At 42.4% G+C, this 20,291-nt stretch overlaps 1 protein-coding gene across 5 annotated transcripts in view; it reads left to right on the top strand.

The window, feature by feature from the left end:
* Positions 1–20,291, top strand: part of MED27 (mediator complex subunit 27) — a 219,756-nt gene that overhangs the window by 78,658 nt on the left and 120,807 nt on the right. The gene's annotated exons all lie outside the window — the stretch shown is intronic.

Below are 20,291 nucleotides of genomic sequence, written 5' to 3'. Positions count from 1 at the left end.
CTCACCCCAAGCAACCAGTGATCTGCTTTTTGTCACTATAGTTTGCATTTTCTAGAAGTCATATTAGAGGAACTATACAGCATATACTTTTTTTTTCTTTTTTTCTCTTTGAGGCAGGATGTTGCTTTGTCGCCCAGGCTGGAGTGCAGTGGTGTGATCATAGCTCACCGCAGCTGCAAATTCCTGGGCTCAAGTGATCCTCCTGCCTCAGCCTCCCAAGTAGCTGAGACTACAAGTGTGTGTCACCACACCTGACTAATTTTTAAGTTTTTTGTAAAGATGGCCTAGCATATACTGGTTTGTTTGTTTGTTTATCTGGCTTTTGACTAGGCGTGGTAGCTCACGCCTGTAAGCTAAGCAATTTGGGAGGCAGAGGCAGAAGGAGCACTTGAGCCCAGGAGTTCAAGACAAGCCTGGACAACATAGTGAGACCCCATCTCTAAAAAAAAAAAAAAAATTTTTTTTTAAAATCTGACTTTTCTACTCAGCATAGTCATTTTGAGATTCATCCATATTGTTGCATGTATCAATAGGTTATTTCTTATTATTGCTGTATAGTATTCCACCAATTGGATATACTGCAGTTTGTTTATCCATTTATCTGTTGATGGACAACTGGGTTGTTTTGGCTATTAATAAAGCCAGTATGAACATACATGTACAAGTCTTTGTATGGACATGTGCTTTCATTTCTCTTGGGTAAATATTGAGGAGTACAATAGCTAGGTCATATGGTAGGTGTGTGTTTAACTTTTTTAAAGATATTGCCAAGTTGTTTTTCAAAAGGTTGTGTCGTTTTTACCTTCCCACCAGCAGGGTATGAGAGTTCCAGTTGCTGTGCTTCCACCAGCACTTGACATTGTCCATCTTTTTAATGTTTAGACATTCTGACTGGTATGCAGTGGTATCTCATTGTGGTTTAACATGAATTTCCGTAATGAGTAATGGTGGTGAGCATGTTCTCATGTGCTTATTTGCCATCCGTATATCTTTGGTGAAGTGCAGAAAAAGGCTAAGGCTTTTTTTCCATGAAGGGAAATTCTGAAAACCTGTATTTCTCAAAAGTGATTTTACTTTTGATCAAAAGTGATTTTACTTTTGATCAAAAGTGATTTTACTTTTGATCAAAAGTGATTTTACTTTTGAGAAATACAGGTTTTCAGAATTTCCTTTCATGGCTTTGAAAATGCCTTAATGTAGAGCCTGTCTTAGATTGATTTTGTACTGATTGATTGGTGAGCGTCCTTTGGACACCCACTGTCTGCTCATCATTCCACTAGTTGCTGTGAGGAGTTCAGAGGAAACAGTAGTTGTGGGCTGGAACACCAACAAGTCCAAACACTCCAAGTTTTGCTTAAGTATTTCATGGTGTTTCTTAACCTTGTCACCTCCTTTCCTGTACAGATGTGATAGCTGTGGGGCTGGAGTTGGTGCTGGTGACAGGCTTTTAATTAGTTTGTCCTGATTTTTTATTTTCTTTTGGTAGAAAAACTTATCTTTGAAGCACTGAAGTCTAGATTCTTGCTCTTCTTTATCTGTAATTGTTATTTTATTGGCACTATGCTTTTTATTCATTTTTGCAATTCAGTAAATAAAATCTAATATCTACAGTGTTTGGTGCTGGTATTCAGTGATGAATAACCTTCCCTTAAGGAGCTTGCAATGTACCTTGGGGACCAGCAAAGAGGCCTTTTGGATCCAGAAGAAGGCCTTTCTTCTGGGGTCAATGCCAGGGTGACCCCCATTGTCCTGTTCATCTTTGTCCCTTAGAAACCTTGTCTTTAACCCTTCGGTAACCACACCAAGAGACTTTTCCAGACTTGGGTCTCACATGAAACTTACAAAAGACCTAGTCTCTGACATTGATGGACACATCATGATAGGACAGGACCGGCTTTGGGAACTTTTTCGTGGACCCGGCCCATAGATAGACTTCATTATGGATGGTTGAGCTGAAACTTCTCCTCACCTTCCAACTCTCTCTTACCCTGCTATGTTTTGGGGCTCCGGCAAAGATATTCCCAGGTATGTCTTTTAAAGGAATGGAACTCTTTCTTTGCAGCTTCAGGTCCCCACACAGGGAGTTCGATTTGCTGGGTACTTAATGTCCCCGGAGAAGAAACCTTGGGGCATCACAGTGTTCCAAAGGTTTCCTTAGAAGTCTCTCACAGTCTTAAATTTTTGTTTCATGTTTTATCAGCTCCTTAAACTAGCATGAATCCCAGGCACAGTAGCTCTAGAAAGCTGTCCTTTCCCTATTTGACAGGTAACAAAATAGATTTAGATTTTTTTTTTTTTGGTGGACTTGGGCACTGTGGAAAAAATAAAACAATTGAAATTAAGTAAATACATTAAGTAAATCAAAGCCACCAATTTCCTTTTCCCTCCTTCTTCCTGTCAGTTAACATGGACGTGCCTCCCAAGTGTGGCTTGTACAGGACCTGACTTTACACATCAAATGTGGGGCTAGGATTGGTTTGTACAGACCTCACCCCACCATTCTTTTTCCTTATTAATACTTTTTACACTTTTTAATTTTAAACAAAGGAGCACTTAGAATTTAAAGGTCTCCTATGACCAATTAATTCAGTGCAGTTTATTGAGTAGGCATTTAGACGGTAGATGGAATTTCCGTCACCCCTAAGGAACCTCTGACATCGTTGGGTAGTATTTAGAGCGTCATGAAAACCCAGACCTGGAAGAGCCAGAAGGCATCTCCTTTCTACCCTCATTTCATAGTGAAGGAAATAAGGATGCAGATAAGTGAAGCATTTTTCTCCAGTGAGTTCTGAGACTTTTCAGTAACAGATCCAGGCCTGGAACTTCTTGGTTTCCCGCTCCTATAATGCTCCCACTGATCATCTACCACTGTCTTCCCTTCTTGGAGGATAGGAAGTGACCAATGGAGGAGGAAGGAAAAAAAAAAAGGATATTAAAAATGTGTCTTTTTTTTTTTTAAGATGATGCTTTTGAGTGGTATTATAGAATCACTACCCTGTTTTGCTGTTCGTAGCTCTCCCCAAGTGCGCTCCTTCCCTTTTTGTTTCTGAGACTTGCGTGTGAACCTCGCCCATTCCTTCTGGTTCTTTGCAAATGGAGGGGATGGTTTCAGCACTCGTGTACTAAGAATTAGAGCTTTCTGCTTTGGTGCTCTGTGGCCCTGGAACTCTGCCCTGTTAGCAGTGCTTTTTGGCAGAGCAGCAAGACTTTATCAGCCAGTGGGAACAGATATTTCTGTTCTACAAATGAGCCCAGATTTATAGACTCAGAGTTCAAAGAAATTAGATGAGAGATCACCAACCAAAGCAGTCTGCAGTGAGGGAAGGAACACCATCGGACTGGTTAATAATGAAAGCCACCGCATAGAGCACTCATGTAGTTTGAACGCTGTCCTTTGAGAGGTACCGTTACTTGCCTCAGCTTTACAGAGGCCAACACCGAAGCTCCCACCTTGTCTGGAGGCCCCCAGCTAGGAAGTGCTGGGACTGGAATTCAAACCTGGGCACAGAGAACCCGGAATCTGTATGTCTCAGCTGTAGTACAAGGCAGAGGATTAGGTTCTCAGGAAGCAGAGGTTGAGTTGGAATTGGGCTGCAATATATTTATTAGGGATCACCCCCTGTGAAAGAAAGTGGGAGGAAGCAGGACTGCTGGGGGAGATGGCAGCCTACAGTGCAGGGCTGGCAACGCCTCGGTCAACCCAGGGGATCTCTGCAGCAGGGTTACCTGCCTTGTCCTGTGTTGGCCAAAAGTCTGGGCCTTTGTACCCCTGCCTCACTCAGTCACCATATGCAGGTGGCTCCAGGAAGGCTGTGACCTCGGTGAGATAGCTGTCTGCAGCAGAGGCTGACCCTGAACATGCCGATAGCTGGAGGCTGTATGTCGATCGCTGTCCTGTAGCCAGACAGCAGGTTCTTCCTGGAAGAGGATCTGCCATTGCATCTCCTTGTCTACCCTGATCTTCATCAGCTGTGATACTATTACTAGATGGCTAAGCTCCAGCATGCTGGAAGTTAATTCTTTATTCTCCGGAAGCGGCAGATTTGTACAACCTTTCAACATGATAAGATAAGGGCTTACAGAGGAGAAAAACTTGGCTTTTAATTTTAATTTTATTTTTTACAATGAATACCCACTGTTAAACTACAGTTGACCCTTAACACAGCGTTAGGGGTACCCATCCCCCACCATAGTCAAAAATGTGCGTGACTTTTGACTCCCCAAAAGCTTAACTACTAATAGCCTTACCAATGGCATAGTTGATTAACACATATTTTGTAGGTTGTATGCATTACATACTGTATTCTTACAATAAAATATCTAGAGAAAAGAATATGTCATTAAGAAAATCATAAGGAAGTGAAAAAATATTTACTGTTCATTAAGTGGAAGTGGATCCTCATAAAGGTCTTCATCCTCATGGTCTTCATGTTGAGTAGAGTAAGGAGGAGGAGGTTGGTCTTGCTGTCTCAGGAGTGGCAGAGGTGGAAGAAAATCTCAATATTTAAGTGGACCTGTGTGGTTCAAACTCATGTTGTTCAAGGGCCAACTGTGCTGTGTTCTTCACTGCCAGACACTTATGTATCACTGCGTCTCCCTGTCTTCTCAGCTATCCTGTGTTGCTCAGTTCTACTTCTACAATTCTACTACGTACATTTGAGGAGCTGCCCCTCCAGGAGTCCAGTGGGGCCTCCCTTCCTGAGGGAGAGCTTAGAAGCTTCGTGGGATCAAGATCAACTATAGCCTCCACCTCTGCAGTTAGTCTCGTTCTCTCTCTCCTTTGACATCCATTCCAGATTTGGCTCACCCTTAGCTGTGACCTCTGCCGGCTCCAGTGGCTCCCATAGTGGCAAGACCCAGCACTTCATCCCTGGCAGGTCTGAGCCCCTCATCACTGTGCCTTTCTCAGGCCAGAGTTGCTATGTCTTCATTCACGGTCAAAATCGAGCAAGGGAGTATCCAGGGGTACCCAGGCTCCACAATATTTGTCTCTGCTTCCATTGTGTAACAGCAGCCCCTGCTTCTTACGAGCAGAACCAATTTGGCAAGATGGTGACTCTTCTTTTTGACTACTGGTCCCTAGACCAGGAGCCCAAAGTGCCCAGGTGGCAGCCATAGCTTATAATGCAGTGAGATCCCTGCTATTCCCAGGCAAAAGTATGGGGATCCAGACTTGGGCTTTGCAGACCAGGATCTCTAACTCTGCAAAGCCCAGAGTTCTGGAAGGGGGATGCTTGAAGTCTACCATGGGATATCAGGAATTATGGAGTGTAGAGGACACTCCTGCTTCCTCCCCTTGACTCCCAGACCCAAGTATTCTTCCTATTAGGGGAGAGCACCATAAAAAGGTCTTTGATTCAGTGCATATACTGCATCCTGGAGGATGGTACCCCATACCCCATCTTTGCTGAGTAGTGTCTCCAAGCTGGTGCTTCAGCTGTGCCTTCAGCAGGCTAGACCACATCTGCTGGGTGGTAGTATGTGATGTGATCAATGAATTCCATGATCATGGGCCTACTACAGAAAGGGGTTTCCTTGATTTGATATAATATTATGTGGGATCCAGTGCTGTTGGTTCAAAGATTGTCACTAAGCCCTTGGATGGTGGTGCTGACTCAGGCCCTGTGAGTCAGAAGGGCAAACCCTTAGTTGGAAGGCGTGTCTATTTCTGTTGGACAAATATCTGGCCTTCCAAGATAGAAGGAGTCCATTAACTTGCACCACGTTGATGGTTGTGCTCCTTGAGGAATAGTGCCATTTTGGGAACTTGATGATGGTCTCTGTCATTGGTAGATGGGTTATTTTTTGGCATTAGCAACTAGATCAGCTTTAATAAGTGCAAGTCCATGCTGTTGGGTCCGTTTCTGTCACTGTGGCCACTTTATTCATGGGTCTATCATGCTAACAATGGGATGGCTGATGTCAACTGGTTGGGTCACTTTTCTGCTTGGTTGTTTAATGCCTTTTCCATGGTGGGTGATGACATGTGACACAAAGCTTTTCCACCCTTCGTGTCCCCTCCCCATATGCCCATGTACATGTCCATACCTCATACTTTCTTGTCCTGACTTTCCAATCTTTTTCCTTCTAGGACCTTGACAATCTGAGCAGACCACTCACTGCTGCCCATGAGTCTTCCTGTAGTCTAGCCTTGAGCTGCTGCTTTTCCCATATAAAGGGCACTGCTTGAAGCCCTACTTCTTGGGAGGCTTTTCCCTCACAGCTGTCTTTTCTGTCACCCCGAGTGAGTTTGTAATGCAGCTGCCATGGATTTTTGGCTTTTACCCACATGCCAGAGTGACCTGTCTGTAAACCAAGCTTGGACACTTCCCCCTTCCTCCGTATGCTCGTGTAGGATTCCCCCAGGCAACCACAGGCATGAGCTGGGGAGGGCCACTGGGACTACTGTGATGGGTGTTATATATTATAACAAAGGGCAAGAGAACTTGCCCTAAGTCAGAACTCTAAGTGTATATTGTCTATTTCATGGAAATATGAACTGTTCCTGAGTCTTGTTTTTGACTGGGATAGAAAAAAAGGCATTCACTAAATCAGTGATGGCTTTGTATGACCTGAGGCCATATTGTTCTGCTCTAGCAAAGATGCCACATCTGATACCATGGTGGCAATCAGGGCTCCCTGCCTGATTGAGCTCGCAGAGGTCTGCAGTCCTCCAGGATTCATCTGGTTTCTGCAGGGGGCAGGCTGGTAAATGAAACAGACGTAAAGTGGGACCACTGCCCCCTGCGTCCTTTAGATCCTTCCAGGTGGCACTAATCTCTGCCATTGCCCTGGGATGCAATATTGGTTTTTAATGCAGTATTGGGGGTGGGGGAGGCAGTGCAGAAGCAGGGTGTATCAGAGACTTCCATTCGGCCTTCCCTACTCTGGTAGATCTTACCCCATAGACCAAGGACCTAATGTGGTTGTAGAAATTGTCAAATACAATAAGTTCTCATTTAGCATCATCGATAGGTTCCTGGGAATTGCGACTTGAAGCAAAACAATGTATAACAAGGCTAATTTTACCCTAGGCTAATTGAAATAACAAGAGTTAAGTTCCTACAGCAAAACATCACCAAACTTCTAAATTAAGACCAAAACACTTCTGATATTAAACATTGAAGTAAATGTGAGCTATACATACATTTAAGAAAGATTAATAGAAACAAGATAATTATTTACCTGCTTGTTCCATTTCAGGGCCTTGGGTGGCTGGCAGCTATCCCAGCAGCTTAGGGTGCCAGGCAGAAACCAACCCTGGACAGGACGCCATCCCATCACAGGGCACACTCACACACACCCGCTCAGACTGGGACAATTTAGACATACCAGTTCACCTAACGTGCATGTCTTTGGGATGTAGGAGGAAATCAGAGTGTACGGAGAAGACCCACACAGACATGGGGAGAGCCTGCAGACCCCACACAGACAGTGGCCCCAGCTGGGAATGGATTTTTTTTCCTGTCATCGATGTTAATGAAATGTGTTGAACAAAACATTATTTGAGGACCTGCTGTATGTTGGTCTCAGTTAGTCATGATGAGATGGGTCTGTGGACCCAGTGGATGGATCCACTGTAAACTAGACCTTGGCCAGGGCTCCATTTATTACCTGCTCCCCATGTGCCCCCACTCGGAACGGGGGCATCCTGAAGCCTCAGGTCTCTGAGAATCAGTGTTAACTCTAAGAAGTGGCTCTCTGCAGCTGACGCTGACTCTGCGTGAGCTGACAGCTGGAGCCCACGTGTTGACTGTCCTCCCACAGCTGGGTAGCATTCCTGAGGGGGAGCTGAGCAGGCGTCTCTGTGTCTCCCACCCTCTTTCGTCCTCAGCTGTGATACTGTTGCTGTATGGCTAAGATCAAGAATACCTGTATTCATTTCTCCCCCTTCCCCTAGTATTCTTTTTGGTACAGCCTTTCAACATGGTAAATAAGGGTCTGTAAGGAAAAACTTGAATTTTTTAAAAAAAAAAAAACATGAATAACAACTGATGTTAAACTATGGTGTTATTTATCCAGCAGATTTAGGTAAGGCACGGTGGTAGACTCTAGAAATACAGAGAGCCCTTGTTCTCAGGAATTTACAGTCAAGCTGGGGATTTGGAACATCCTGCATATGAAAATAAAGATGCATAGGCTAAACAAACAGGTTCTGGAGTGAGATTTCTTGGGCTTGCACCCCGGGTCACCCATGCCCCATATGTGTGCCTTTGGGCATCTTATTCAACCCCTCTCACCATTAGTCTTCTCATTTGTCAAATGGGGATAATAATGGAATGAGAGTACCGTGTTTGTGATACAGCGATCACTCAGTAAGTGCTAGCTGCTTGTGTATTATAATTATTGTTGTTTAGAGTGGCAGTAGTATGTCCCAGCTGAATATTGTGGGTGGTGAGTTTCTCAGGGATTCCAGCAAGGGGCAAGGAGGAAGGCTTATGGGGCAGATGGGCTCTGAAGAGTTATCTTTTGTATGAATATGTGCATTCCTCTTTAAAAGTAGGTACTGGGCCAGGTGCAGTGGCTCATACCTGTAACCCAGCTCTTTGAGAGGCCAAGGCGGGAGGATTGCTTGAGGCCAGGAGTTCAAAAGTAGCTGGGTCAATGTAGTTAGATCCCCATCTCTACAAAAATTTTTTTAAAAAATAGCAGGGTGTGGTGGCACGTGCCTATAGTCCCAGCTACTCGGGAGCCTGAGGAGGGAGGATCCTTTGAGCCCAGGAGGTCGAGGTTGCAGTGAGCTGTGATCACGCCACTGCACTCCATCCAGCCTGGGCAACAGAGTGAGACTCCCATCTCAACGAATGAATGAATGAAGGTACCAAAAGAGGTGCAGTATCGACAGATGGGAATTTTGTAGATTTTTATCCCCGTTTGAATTGAGATGTTTTCCATGTTCACATCTCAAAGATTCTGTTAATGGTGAAAGAAATGATAACAAGGCTTTCCTTTCCTTTTTTTCTCATTGGTTCAAACTGAGATAAAATTATGTCACCTATAATCAACATTGATATTTTCCACTGTGTACACACACTCTCATATTTCTTACACGTGGAAGGACATTGTTTTCTTAACAAATAATATGGGAATTGGGCAATGAAGGATAATAAAATGTCCTAACAGATGTCACCAGGTGAACTTACACAAAGTTCATTTTGGGTAAATGTCTTGGTTATTAATAATTCATGTGGCTGAGCGCGGTGGCTCACGTCTCTAATCCCAGCACTTTGGGAGGCTGAGGCAGGCAGATCACGAGGTCAGGAGATCGAGACCATCCTGGCTAACGTGGTAAAACCCCATCTCTACTAAAGATACAAAAACTTAGCCGGGCATGGTGGCGCTCGCCTGTAATCCCAGCTACTCGGGAGGCTGAGGCAGGAGAATCGCTTGAACCTGGGAGGTGGAGGTTGCAGTGAGCGGAGATTGCGCCACTGCACTCCAGCCTGGGCAACAGAGCGAGACTCCGTCTAAAATAAATAAATAAACAAACAAATAAATAAATGATTGATATCTCCAAGACACTGAAAACTATTAGTTCCTTCCTAAACCTTCGAAGAAAAATTAAATTTCATGCTATATATTTTGTGTTGAGTTTCATAGTATTTTAATTTTGAAAATTGTTTATTTATGTATGTTAAGTGTGGTGCCTTAAAACAGGAAATTAGATTAAAAATATCACAGCTTTATGAGAGGACAGATCATTTACAGAGCTCAGTAAAGATTTGCCTGTTACAGTGATTGAGTTTGGTTCACATCTTTGTAGGGTGTGGGCAGGGATAATTGCTAAAGGTATTTTTCTTGCTTCTAATAGTGGGATGAAAAATAGAGGCTTTGAATTTCTACAGCAACTAATGAAATTAGAATGTTCCTATCTATTTTCTAAGGAATTCCTGGCTTGGTTAGAGAATATAGAAATAATAACTCTGCTTTAAAATTAAGTTCTGAGCAGTTGTATCTGAGAGTATTTCTCTCTCACAGGTGCATTTAGGTCCCTGATGGCACTTGCATTTTTTGAAACGCAGCTGTACTTTAACATAGCAAGTGTCTGTTGTTTTGTATGGCTGCCTCAAAGATATTTGGGTACAAGTAGCAGCTATGAGAAACCGTCAAGGTTGTCTTGGAAGGGAAAACAGGCTCTTGTTTTAGTGCTCTCAGTTATGTTTTAAAAGACAGGACTTGCTATGCTCCACTCTTTAGCATAGCTAGTCCTGTCTTTCAGCAAGAACCCCGCAGATTTCTCATCGTACCCTACCCCTGTAATGCCAGTTACATTGATTAATGAATTGACTACAAGTGTTATGGATTTCCCGTTGCATATCTGATTAGTGCATAGTGTTATGTGCCCTTGACTATGAGGAGAGAATACTGTTCCTGGTGATTTGCATAGAGGTGGGCCATGGGATTATTGCGAGCCGCAGTCCTCCAGGAGGTGCAGTTCAGCCACAGCTGCTGCACTAATGGGAATCCTAGATCTGGTCAGAACCCACGTTCCTGGGACAAGACTGGTTTTCAGGATGTGGAGCATGGAGTCAAGGGTGAACTGAGAGACCACATCCTCCTGGGGTGACACTGAAATCATTGGCCAGGTGGGGTGTGCAAGCAACCCACAGGTCCAAAAGGACTGGATCAGTGGTTCTGAACGTTTTATTTGAGGATGCTCCATAAACACTCTGGGATGACTGCAGAATGAGTGTTCTGAGTACTCCTCCAGGCACTAGGGATCTGGGCCTGCACAACAAAACAAATCCCTGCCCTCATGGCAGTGATAGTTTTTGTGAACATGTAAATAGTGTGTGCAATTTCAGGACCCCAGGACAAGGACCTCAGAGTTGGTCAGAGAGAGACAATTCAGGTAGAGGCTCATAGGTAAAACAGAGGATGAAGGAATGTTCCAGAGGGGTTGACTCCTCGGAGCATCACTAAATTGATGGAGATGAGCCTCAGGTATTTATTACATGGTATCTTTGGGCTCAATCATGGGAAGAAAAAGCATTGTTAAGGGCCCTGACCCTTCGCAGACAAGACTGGAGCTGGACTTTGAAGGAAGCAAAGACTTTCAGCAAACAGAGAAGCTGTGGGGAAGCAGTGGTGGGGGTGGGCCAGGGAAGCACCGTCTGGGAAGGATCTAAAGTGGGGCAGGTTCTGTGTGCGGGGGAACCATAGTGAACAGCCCAGGTGGTGTGTAAGCTGCAGTATAGGAGGGTAGTGGCTGAATTTGGAATGCCTTGGTTGCAAGCTGAAGTTAGATTTTAACTAGTACATAGTCAGTAGCAAGGTATTTTGAGCAAGGCTCTGCTGGCCCAGTGACTTGCCAGGTAGATACATTGCTTCCTAACGGCAGGTGTTTGAGTACAGCTATATCATAGCTGTAGGTTATAGGCGAATTGATAGTGATGCCAGGATTTGCATTGTTCCTTTTTTTTTTTTTAAGTATGTTTATGTGGAGGGGAGGGATACATGAAACAGGATGGCAACATGGATAATTGCTGGAGCTGGCTCACAAAAGTTTATTGTATGGTTCTCTCTACTCTTGGGTATGTTCGAACATTTCCATAATAGAGTTAAATTAAAAATAATACAACTGGTTTCACAACAGTGTGAATCTACTTAATACCAGTGAACTGCATGTTTAAAAATGGTGAAGATGGTAACTGTTTTATGTGTTTTTTAAACAATTTTTAAAAATGGTTAGGATGGTAAATATTATGTTACAGATATTTTACCACAATTAAAAAATACATAGCTTACCTACAAAGGGGGTAATCAGACCCTGTCCAGCAGCCACAGAACCTATTGCCGAAGCCTCTCAAGACACGTTTTCATGGAATAAAAGGTTAGGAGAAATCCTAGGCTCCTGCTGTGGTCCTGAAAGGGAAGTTCTAGGCAAAATATTAGAACCAGACCTGTTTCCTAGCTTGTTTTCTAAGAGGAATCCTGAATAGTGGGATCCTTTCAAAGTGTTATAAATAAAAGCGTTCTTTTCTAGCATTCACCAGCCACTTATATAATGCTATAATCCTTAGTTTCTTCATCTACAAATAGGGATAATAATATTTATACCTTATAGTAGTTACAGAGTTTAAGTGAGATAATGAATATTTTAAAATCTAGCACCATTTCTCTCTCCACACTTCTGAAGATCCTCCTTCAGAACTAGGTTTGCCTAGATGACAGGTTGGTAGGTGCAGCAAGCCACCATGGCAGTCGTGTACCTATGGAACAAACCTACATGTTCTGCACTTGGTTAAAGTAAAATTAAAAAAAGAACTAGGTTTGTAAAGTACAGTTGATCTTTGAACAATGCAGGGGTTGTTCACCCTCGGCGCAGCCAAAAATCCACATGTAACTTTTAACTTCCCACAAATTTAACTGCTAATAGTCTACTGTTCTACTGTTGACCAGAAGCTTTTCTGATAACAAAAACAGTCAATTAGCTGGGCACAGTGGTGCATGCCTGTTATCCCAGTTCCTTGGGAGGCCAAAGGGGGAAGGTTGAGCCCAGGAGTTAGAGACCAGCCTGGGCAATGTAAGAAGACCCTGGTCTCTCCCCCAATCCCCCCGCAAAAAAAAGCAAAGTAGTTGATTAACACATATTTTGTATGTTATATGTATTATATTACTGTGTTCTTACAATAAAGTAAGCCAGAGAAAATAAAATGTTACTAAGAAAATCATAAGGAAGTGGAAATACATCTACTATTCATTCAGTGGAAATGGATCCTCATAAAAGCCTTCATCCGCATTGTCTTCATGTTGAGGAGCAAGGAGGGGTTGGTCTTGCTGCCTGTGGGGTAGCAGAGGCAGAAGAAAATCTGAGTATAAGTGGACTCATGCGGTTCAAACCCTCGTTGTTCAAGGGTCAGCTATAAATGGCTTCTTTTTTTTTATTTTTTCAAATGGCAAGAGCCAGAATAAATGGCTCCTTTAATGAATAGGTACCACTGATACATTAATAACTATTCCTTTGTAGACAAGCATGGCTAAGTAGCTAACAAAAACTATTTCTCAATATCATGTTGTTTTCTGAAATTAAAAAGATTGAGTAGCCACTATGCTATAGGAAATTTTGAAAAAGGCAAAAGAGCTCACAATTTTAGGTTTTTAATACCATGATTTTACTTATTGACTGTTGTATTTACGGAAATGATTTTTGTAGCTCACATTTTTAAAAACTGTAAACCTAAAAATCGCCTAAACCAGTCCTTGTCTTAATGGACACAGACTGTGGCTTTTTCAGACAGTTTTTGCTGCATTGGACCTTGGAGCACACTCTCTTTGTGGAACTGGAGACTCTGAGGCCCAGGGAGGGCCAGCCGCCCCAACTAAGAGAGGAACCGGGGGCCATCCCCAGTGTCCTGATTCCTACTTGACTGCTTTCCCCACTGCCCCAGTAGAATTAATGAGGTTTTCTTGTACCCATTCCAGCAGGGAGAGGACCAGTTTCACGCATAATTCTTCATGACTGCCCATAGCATTTTAATTGCCTGTTATTGCGTCAAAATATTGTCCTCCTGACAGCTAAGATAATGTAAATAGAAAGCAAGAGGAGACAGAAAATTGAGGAAATTTGCAAGAAAATAAGAATGCCTTTGAAATACCTTAAAGACTGACTTAATATCATTTGAATAACCGTTTGATCTCTTGCATTGCCAGGTGTGATTATTTAGTGGGAGGTAGTGATTTCTTTAAGACAGACTCTATTTAGAATGAAGTTTCTCTCAGTTTTATGCAGCTTTGGAAAGAGCTCAAGATCCTGCTTGTCCACATTCCCACCGCTCCCCCTCCCCGCATTGAGTAAATGACTCCGCTTTGCTACTTTAGGGACACACCACATCGCATGAGACTTCTGACCCTTCTCATCTCCACATCTACAGATACTCTGGAGGCTTTATGTTAGATGGCAGAGTTACCCCAGATTCTGAAATCTTCCTGTTCATACACTTAGTAAAAGAAACAAAAAAGAAGTTAAAACTAGTAAAAGATGCACCAGCATTAGTCAGTCACAGGAAGGGACTTAACCTCTTTGAGAACGTGCAGCAAGGGAAGTTATCACAGAAGATTACAGTTCCACAGCTGTCATTTAATACCAGGAGGCAGTGGAGCAGTGCAAAATTTGGGGGAAAGTTTGACCCAATAATTTTATACTGAACCAAGTTATGTAGAAAGATAGTAGTATTCTAAAAAAAAAAAAAAAAAAAAAAAAAAAAAAATCCATGAACTCAAGGAAAGGCCCATGAGTCTTTCTTTAAAAAACTACTCAGTGACAAAATGCAGTGAGTCAAGGGATCAACGAAGTCAGTTCATTCATTCAGCAAATATTTATTGACTGCCTGTTACGTGCCAAACCCTGTTTGAGACACTGGGGATGTAACGATTCATTAGCTTACATTCTGATGAGAAATGGTGAAGTGAGTGGTCTGTTTAAATAAACAGCCAAGGCCAAGTAATTGTCAGGAATAATATTTCAGAAGGTAAATACAGTCATGCATCATTAGGCTCTTCCATCATTGTGCAAACATATATTTACAAAAACCTAAATGGTAGAACCCACGGCACACCTAGGCTATAAGGTGTAGCCTGTTACTCCTAGGCTACAAACCTCTACAGCATGGTACCATAGTGAGTACTAAAGGCAGTGTAAGACAATGGTAAGTATTTATGTATCTAAACATACCTAAGCATAGTAAATGTATAGTAAAAATACTGTATGAAAGGTAAAAAAAAATGGAGCTGTGTGCAGTGGCTCATGCCTGTAATCCCAGTACTTGGGAGGCTGAGGTGGGAAGATTACCTGAGGCCAGGAATTCAAAACCAGCCTGGGCGACATAGCAAGACCCTGCCTCTATAACAAACAAACCAAAAAGAAAGATAAAAAATGGTACACCCGGACAGGAACTTCACCATGCATGGAGCTTGCAGGACTACAGGTTGCTCTGGGTGAGTCAGTGAGCCATGGTGAGTGAATGTGAAGGTGTAGGGCATTACTATACACTGCTGTAGACTTTACAGACACTGTACACTCAAGCTACACTAAATCTGTAAGAACATTTTTTCTTCCGTAATAAATTAGCCTTACTTTTTCACTTTATAAACTTTTACATTTTGTTAACTTTTTGATTCTTTTGTTATGACGTTTACCTTAAAACAAATACATTGTACAACTGTACAAAAGGATTTTCTTTATATTCTTATTCTGTAAAGCTTTTTTCTATTTTTTATTTTTGTTTTATTTTATTTATTTTTTTCTTACTTTTTAAACTTTTTTGCTAAAACCAAAGACACAAATGCACACATTAGCCTAGGCCTACACAGGGTCAGGATCATCTGTATCAGAGTCTTCCACCTTCACATTTTGTCCCAGTGGAAGGTCTTCAAAGGCAGTAACACACAGAGCTGTCATCTCCTATGATAACAATGCCTTCTTCTGGATCCCTCCTGAAGGACCTGCCTGAGGATGTTTTACAGTCAACTGTTTTTAATAAGTAGAAGTAGTATATGCTAAAAAAAAAAAACAATTAAAATTATAGTACAGTAAATTCATAAACCAGTAACAGTCATTTATTATCATTATCAAGCACTCTGTACTATACATAATTGTATAGGCTGTGCTTCTATGTGACAGGCAGTGCAGTAGGTTTGTTGACACCAGCTTAAACACAAACACATGAGTAATGTGTTGTGCTGTGACTTTACCATGGCTACTATGTGATAGGAATTTTCCAGCTTCATTATAATCTTATGGGACCACTGTCATATATGCGGTCTCACCAAAACACTGTTATGCGACACTTGACTGTGTTATAAAACATGGGAATGCAAAAATATTCACAAAGCACATAGAATGAGGAGATTGGGATGACAAATTTTCTCATCTTATTTGGGAGCAGGAGATATATCTAAACATTAAGAAATAGAGGTTTTAGTGTATTATGTAAAATTTGAAAGAAAATTCTTAAAAAGCACTAAAAAGAAAGGGGATGCCAGAGTCTTGAAGAAAACAGTAAAGACTTAGAGTCCGCAAAGCAAAAGGCAAAGAACCAAAGCAAGCATCCAGAGCAGGACACATGAAATAAGACATAAAAGAAGATAAAACAAAACAGTCTCATAAGACCACCAAATTAGGCCACACACCTGCAATATCAATAAATACCAATGAGATAAATATCTACTACAGGAAAAAGACTCAGATTGTCCCCAAAATTAAACCCTGCTATGTACAACATAAAACAGCTGTTAGACAAAGACAGATCCTGTATTTCTAACTAAAAGAAAACTGGACTTGTAATAGAAATACTAGATAAGGTTGAGCTCAAGGCATATGGTATAAATGGCTGCAAAGAGAAGCTTTATAAGGACAGAATGTAAGTCCACAGTGAGGCCATAACAGGTCAGTCCCAGGCTCAAAATACCAGCATAAATGTATAAATGTCAGGAAGCGCCAGGAGAAACAGGGACTGTGACTCACCTCAGGAGTTCACAGCAGACCAGCAAGATGGAAAATCAGAGAAGCATGTGGAAGATTTAAATACTTTCTCCTTATTGTAGTTTTTAGCTGAAATGACACCTCCTCAGAGGGACCTTCCCTGACTACCCAATCTAAAGTAGCTTCCCCAGTCACTTTGTATCATACACCTTTTTAAGATCTCTGTAGCGCTCTGTTCCGCTGTTCTCTTATGGGTGTATTATGTTGTGTTTTGTTTTGTTATTTGGCCCAAATCCCTGTGAAGGAGGGACCCTGTTTGTTCTGGTGACTGCTGTAACCCCAGTGCCTAGAACAGTGCCTGGCAAACAAGTCGATCTTGAGTTCATAGTCATCTGAGTGCCTGCTAAATGGCAGGCACTGTTCTAGGAGCCCTGAGCACTTGAGTGAACAGACTCCTGCCCTTGTGGTGCTTACATTCTAGTGGAGAATATGGAAGACAAACAATCAGAAGTCATGTACAGAATGTGAGGAGGTGATTAGTGCTATCGGGGAAAGTGGGGCGGATGTGAAGAGCCAGGAGAGCTGGGCCTGTGGGAGGTGGGCAGCGACTTTAAAAAGAACGGTCAGGGAAACTGCCTTGAAATGGTGACATCTGAGCAAATGTGGGGAGGGAGTTAGCTGTGTAGGTCTCTAGGGTAGGTGTCCCAGACAGAGCAACACAGAGGATGGGGAACAGTGACATAAGGGGGTAAAGACAAGTTGAGGCCGTGAACACCAAGGCTTGGACTTACTCTTGAGACGAGAGGTCAGAAAGTGGCTCTGATCAAATACAGCTGGATCAGTTGGAGCTGCATGAGGAATTTCACCTGATATGTGACCTGGAGCCAAGCTACTATCATGGCTGGTTTTGCCTTGTTGTGTAATGTAAACAATAGTTCTTGTTTTGTAAATTGTTTTGAGGGGTATAGTATGTGCTAATTTCAATTATTAAGATATCCATTTAGAACATTTATTAGCACAGATGAATTCGGTTATTTCAAATATAGAAGCAAAATATTGTGTAGAATGAAAATATGAGATATAATTAGACTATTAGTGAAAACACCTACCTCTGCATGATTGAAAATGAAAGGTTGTCTCAAAAGTATAGTGCTAAATATTTACATATCTGCCTGAAATGCACATTTTTAGATGCTAAAAATATTCATTGTTAATGATTGGATGGGAAGACTAGGTTTAATATAGTAATACGCTTCCATACATTTGTCTCTCACCAAAGTCAAAGCCAATTTTGTAAAGTATTACAGGAGCCTTTGAAATAGGGGCTACTGCTGAAATAAAAGGACCCTCTTCCCTATTTAGTGACAGAAAGTTTGCAGAATGACAAAACACTGAGAAAGTTTGCTTGGCAGGTTAGCCATCATTAAAGTTTTTTGTGCATGTCTTAAAATTTTCCTTCTAAAGTGTGGTGTTCTTGAAATGTGAAGAGTAAGTTTTATTGAATCCAGTAACAGGAGCCATGCAGTGAGGGAAAATCCATGGTAGCTTTCTTCATGAAAAGATCTGGCCCAGGTGACTTTAATCCTTTTCCTCATCTGTAAAATGGGGATAAAAATAAAACTTACATGATTGTAAAGAGAGAGGAAGCATAGAAAGTGGCTAGTATTATGCCTGGGACAAAATAAGTGCTCGTTAATTACATGAGGCACTTCTGAGTGTCATGAGTCAGAAAGTGTGGTCTGTGGATCAGCAGCATGGTCTCCTGGGAACTTGCTGAAACTCAGTCACAGATCCTCCTGAATGCGAATCTACATTTTAACAAAATCCTCAGGTGGTGAATATCATTACAGTTGGAAAAACATTGACTAGAGCAGTGATTGGCAAACCAAGGCCCACTAGCCTACTACCCGTTTCTGTAAACAGAGTTTTATTGAGCACAGCCATGCGCATTCATTTCCATATTACATATGGCTGCTTTTGTACTACAGTTGGAGATGCACAGAGGTCAGGCATTGCGGCAGATCCTGTAGCCAGAAAAGCTGACAATATTTACTCCCTGGGCCTTCAAGAAGATGTTTGTTGGTCCCCAATTTAGAGGACCACCTCTAGTGTCCCACCGACTGGGTTCAAATCCACCTCCCCATCAGTAGCTGTGGACCAAGTTACTTGTGTGCTGTTTTCCCATCTGTAAAATGGGGATAACAGTATCTGCTTCATGGGTAGTCATGAGAATAAATGAGGCCATACATGTTGAATCATTTATCGTCTGCCTCATAGCAAACCATGACAAAACTTGGCTACTTACAACAAAACATTTTATTTACTCACGATTGTGTAGTCTGGTCTGGCCCAGCTGGGTGATTCTACTCCTGATCTTGTCAGTGATCATTCAGGGAGTTGTATTCAGTTGTGTGGTTGGTTGGGAGCTGATTCTCTTTCCCTGTAGCCTCAGAGCCCCTCCCTCTCCGTGTGGCCTCTGCACGTGATCTCTTGAGCAGAAGAGCTGGACTTCTTAGGTGGCAGTTCAGGGTTCCCAAGAGTGCGAAAGCAAAAGCTGCCAAGCATTCTTGGGGCTTAGGCCTGGAACTGACACCATGTCAATTCTGCCATGTTTTATTGTTTAAAGCAAGTCACAAGACTGTCCCAGACTCAAGGGGAGGAGACTCCACAAGGGCATAAATACTGGGAAGTGTTCCACCGGGGACCATGAGTGAAACAGACTACCAACGTGGAAGAACATGGGAAGTGCATGATAAGTGGTATCTACCACTTCTGCTACTGCTGCTGATAGAAACATATACATGGCGGGCTGGACGTCAGGGGAGGGTCTGGGGTAGTAAGTGCCTTTCCCTAGGTGCTTTCCTCCTGACTGGAGTCCCTTTTCTTACCCTGTCTACCACTTCAAAATAAAGTAGGAAGAAAATGGAGTCAGTTGTCAAATCTGGTTGGAAATTGGAGGACTGTTTTTGTTAGAGAGTGCGTTGCCTCCTTGGCCGCCGTGTGCCCCCTCTCCCTGAGCTCCGCTTGCTGGCTTGGGGTAGCAGTGTGATGACTGGGTGACAGGGCTGACTATAGCCTCCTGCCCCATCTCCTGGCTTTGCTCTGCAATTGTGTTGACGTGGTAAGTTGCCTTCCTGCTATTGCGGATGCACACCAGCTTCAACGGCCCAGGCTGTTGTAAATTATATGAGCCCTTTCTGCTCCTCCTCCTCTTTTGGACTAGCAGTCCCTTCTCCTGGGAATAGTTGAGGAAGGAAGAACTGTACAGCTTGCCTCAGTTAGGATTGGTTCTCACAAATGGCCACATTTTAAAATAAACTGAGAGAGGAATTTTGGATCATCTGTGCATTTTCTTATGTGTTTGACTTCTTCACGATCAGAGATCGTATTTTAGTTTCATTTGAGCACATGGGCCCAGATTCCATGGGGCTTTACACATGTCTTACGCCAGTTTTGAAGGAAAACGTCTTTAGCCATCACCCTGTGCAAAAATCAGAAGGATATGATTTATTGTAATTTAGCCAAGACAAATAGTGGTTTTCCTTAAAACTTGTAACAATTGCTGTGAATGAGCAAATGTTTATACAAGGTGTGAAATTAAGTTTCATATAGTCACAAAATGTGCTTCTAGCCAACAGCTCTGAAATCATATTTATATTTTGGGTAACAATTTCAGTGGTGTTCTTTGTTGCAATTAGGAGTCCTGCTGCTTCAAGAAATGATACCATCATCCAGATTTAGCTCTTGATAAAGAAAGCTATACTGAATTTTTTTTGTGTGTGTGAAAACCTGGAGTTTAATCCTTGCTTTAAAGATGTGCAAATTCTGTCAAAAATTTGGGGTGACTGAAACTCTTCCTCCAGGGTTT

The sequence above is a fragment of the Homo sapiens genome, chromosome 9, assembly GCF_000001405.40.
Source record: "Homo sapiens chromosome 9, GRCh38.p14 Primary Assembly".
NCBI lineage: Eukaryota > Metazoa > Chordata > Mammalia > Primates > Hominidae > Homo > Homo sapiens.
Note: the sequence above shows the minus strand (reverse complement) of the source record. Positions and strands in the feature narration are given on the sequence as shown.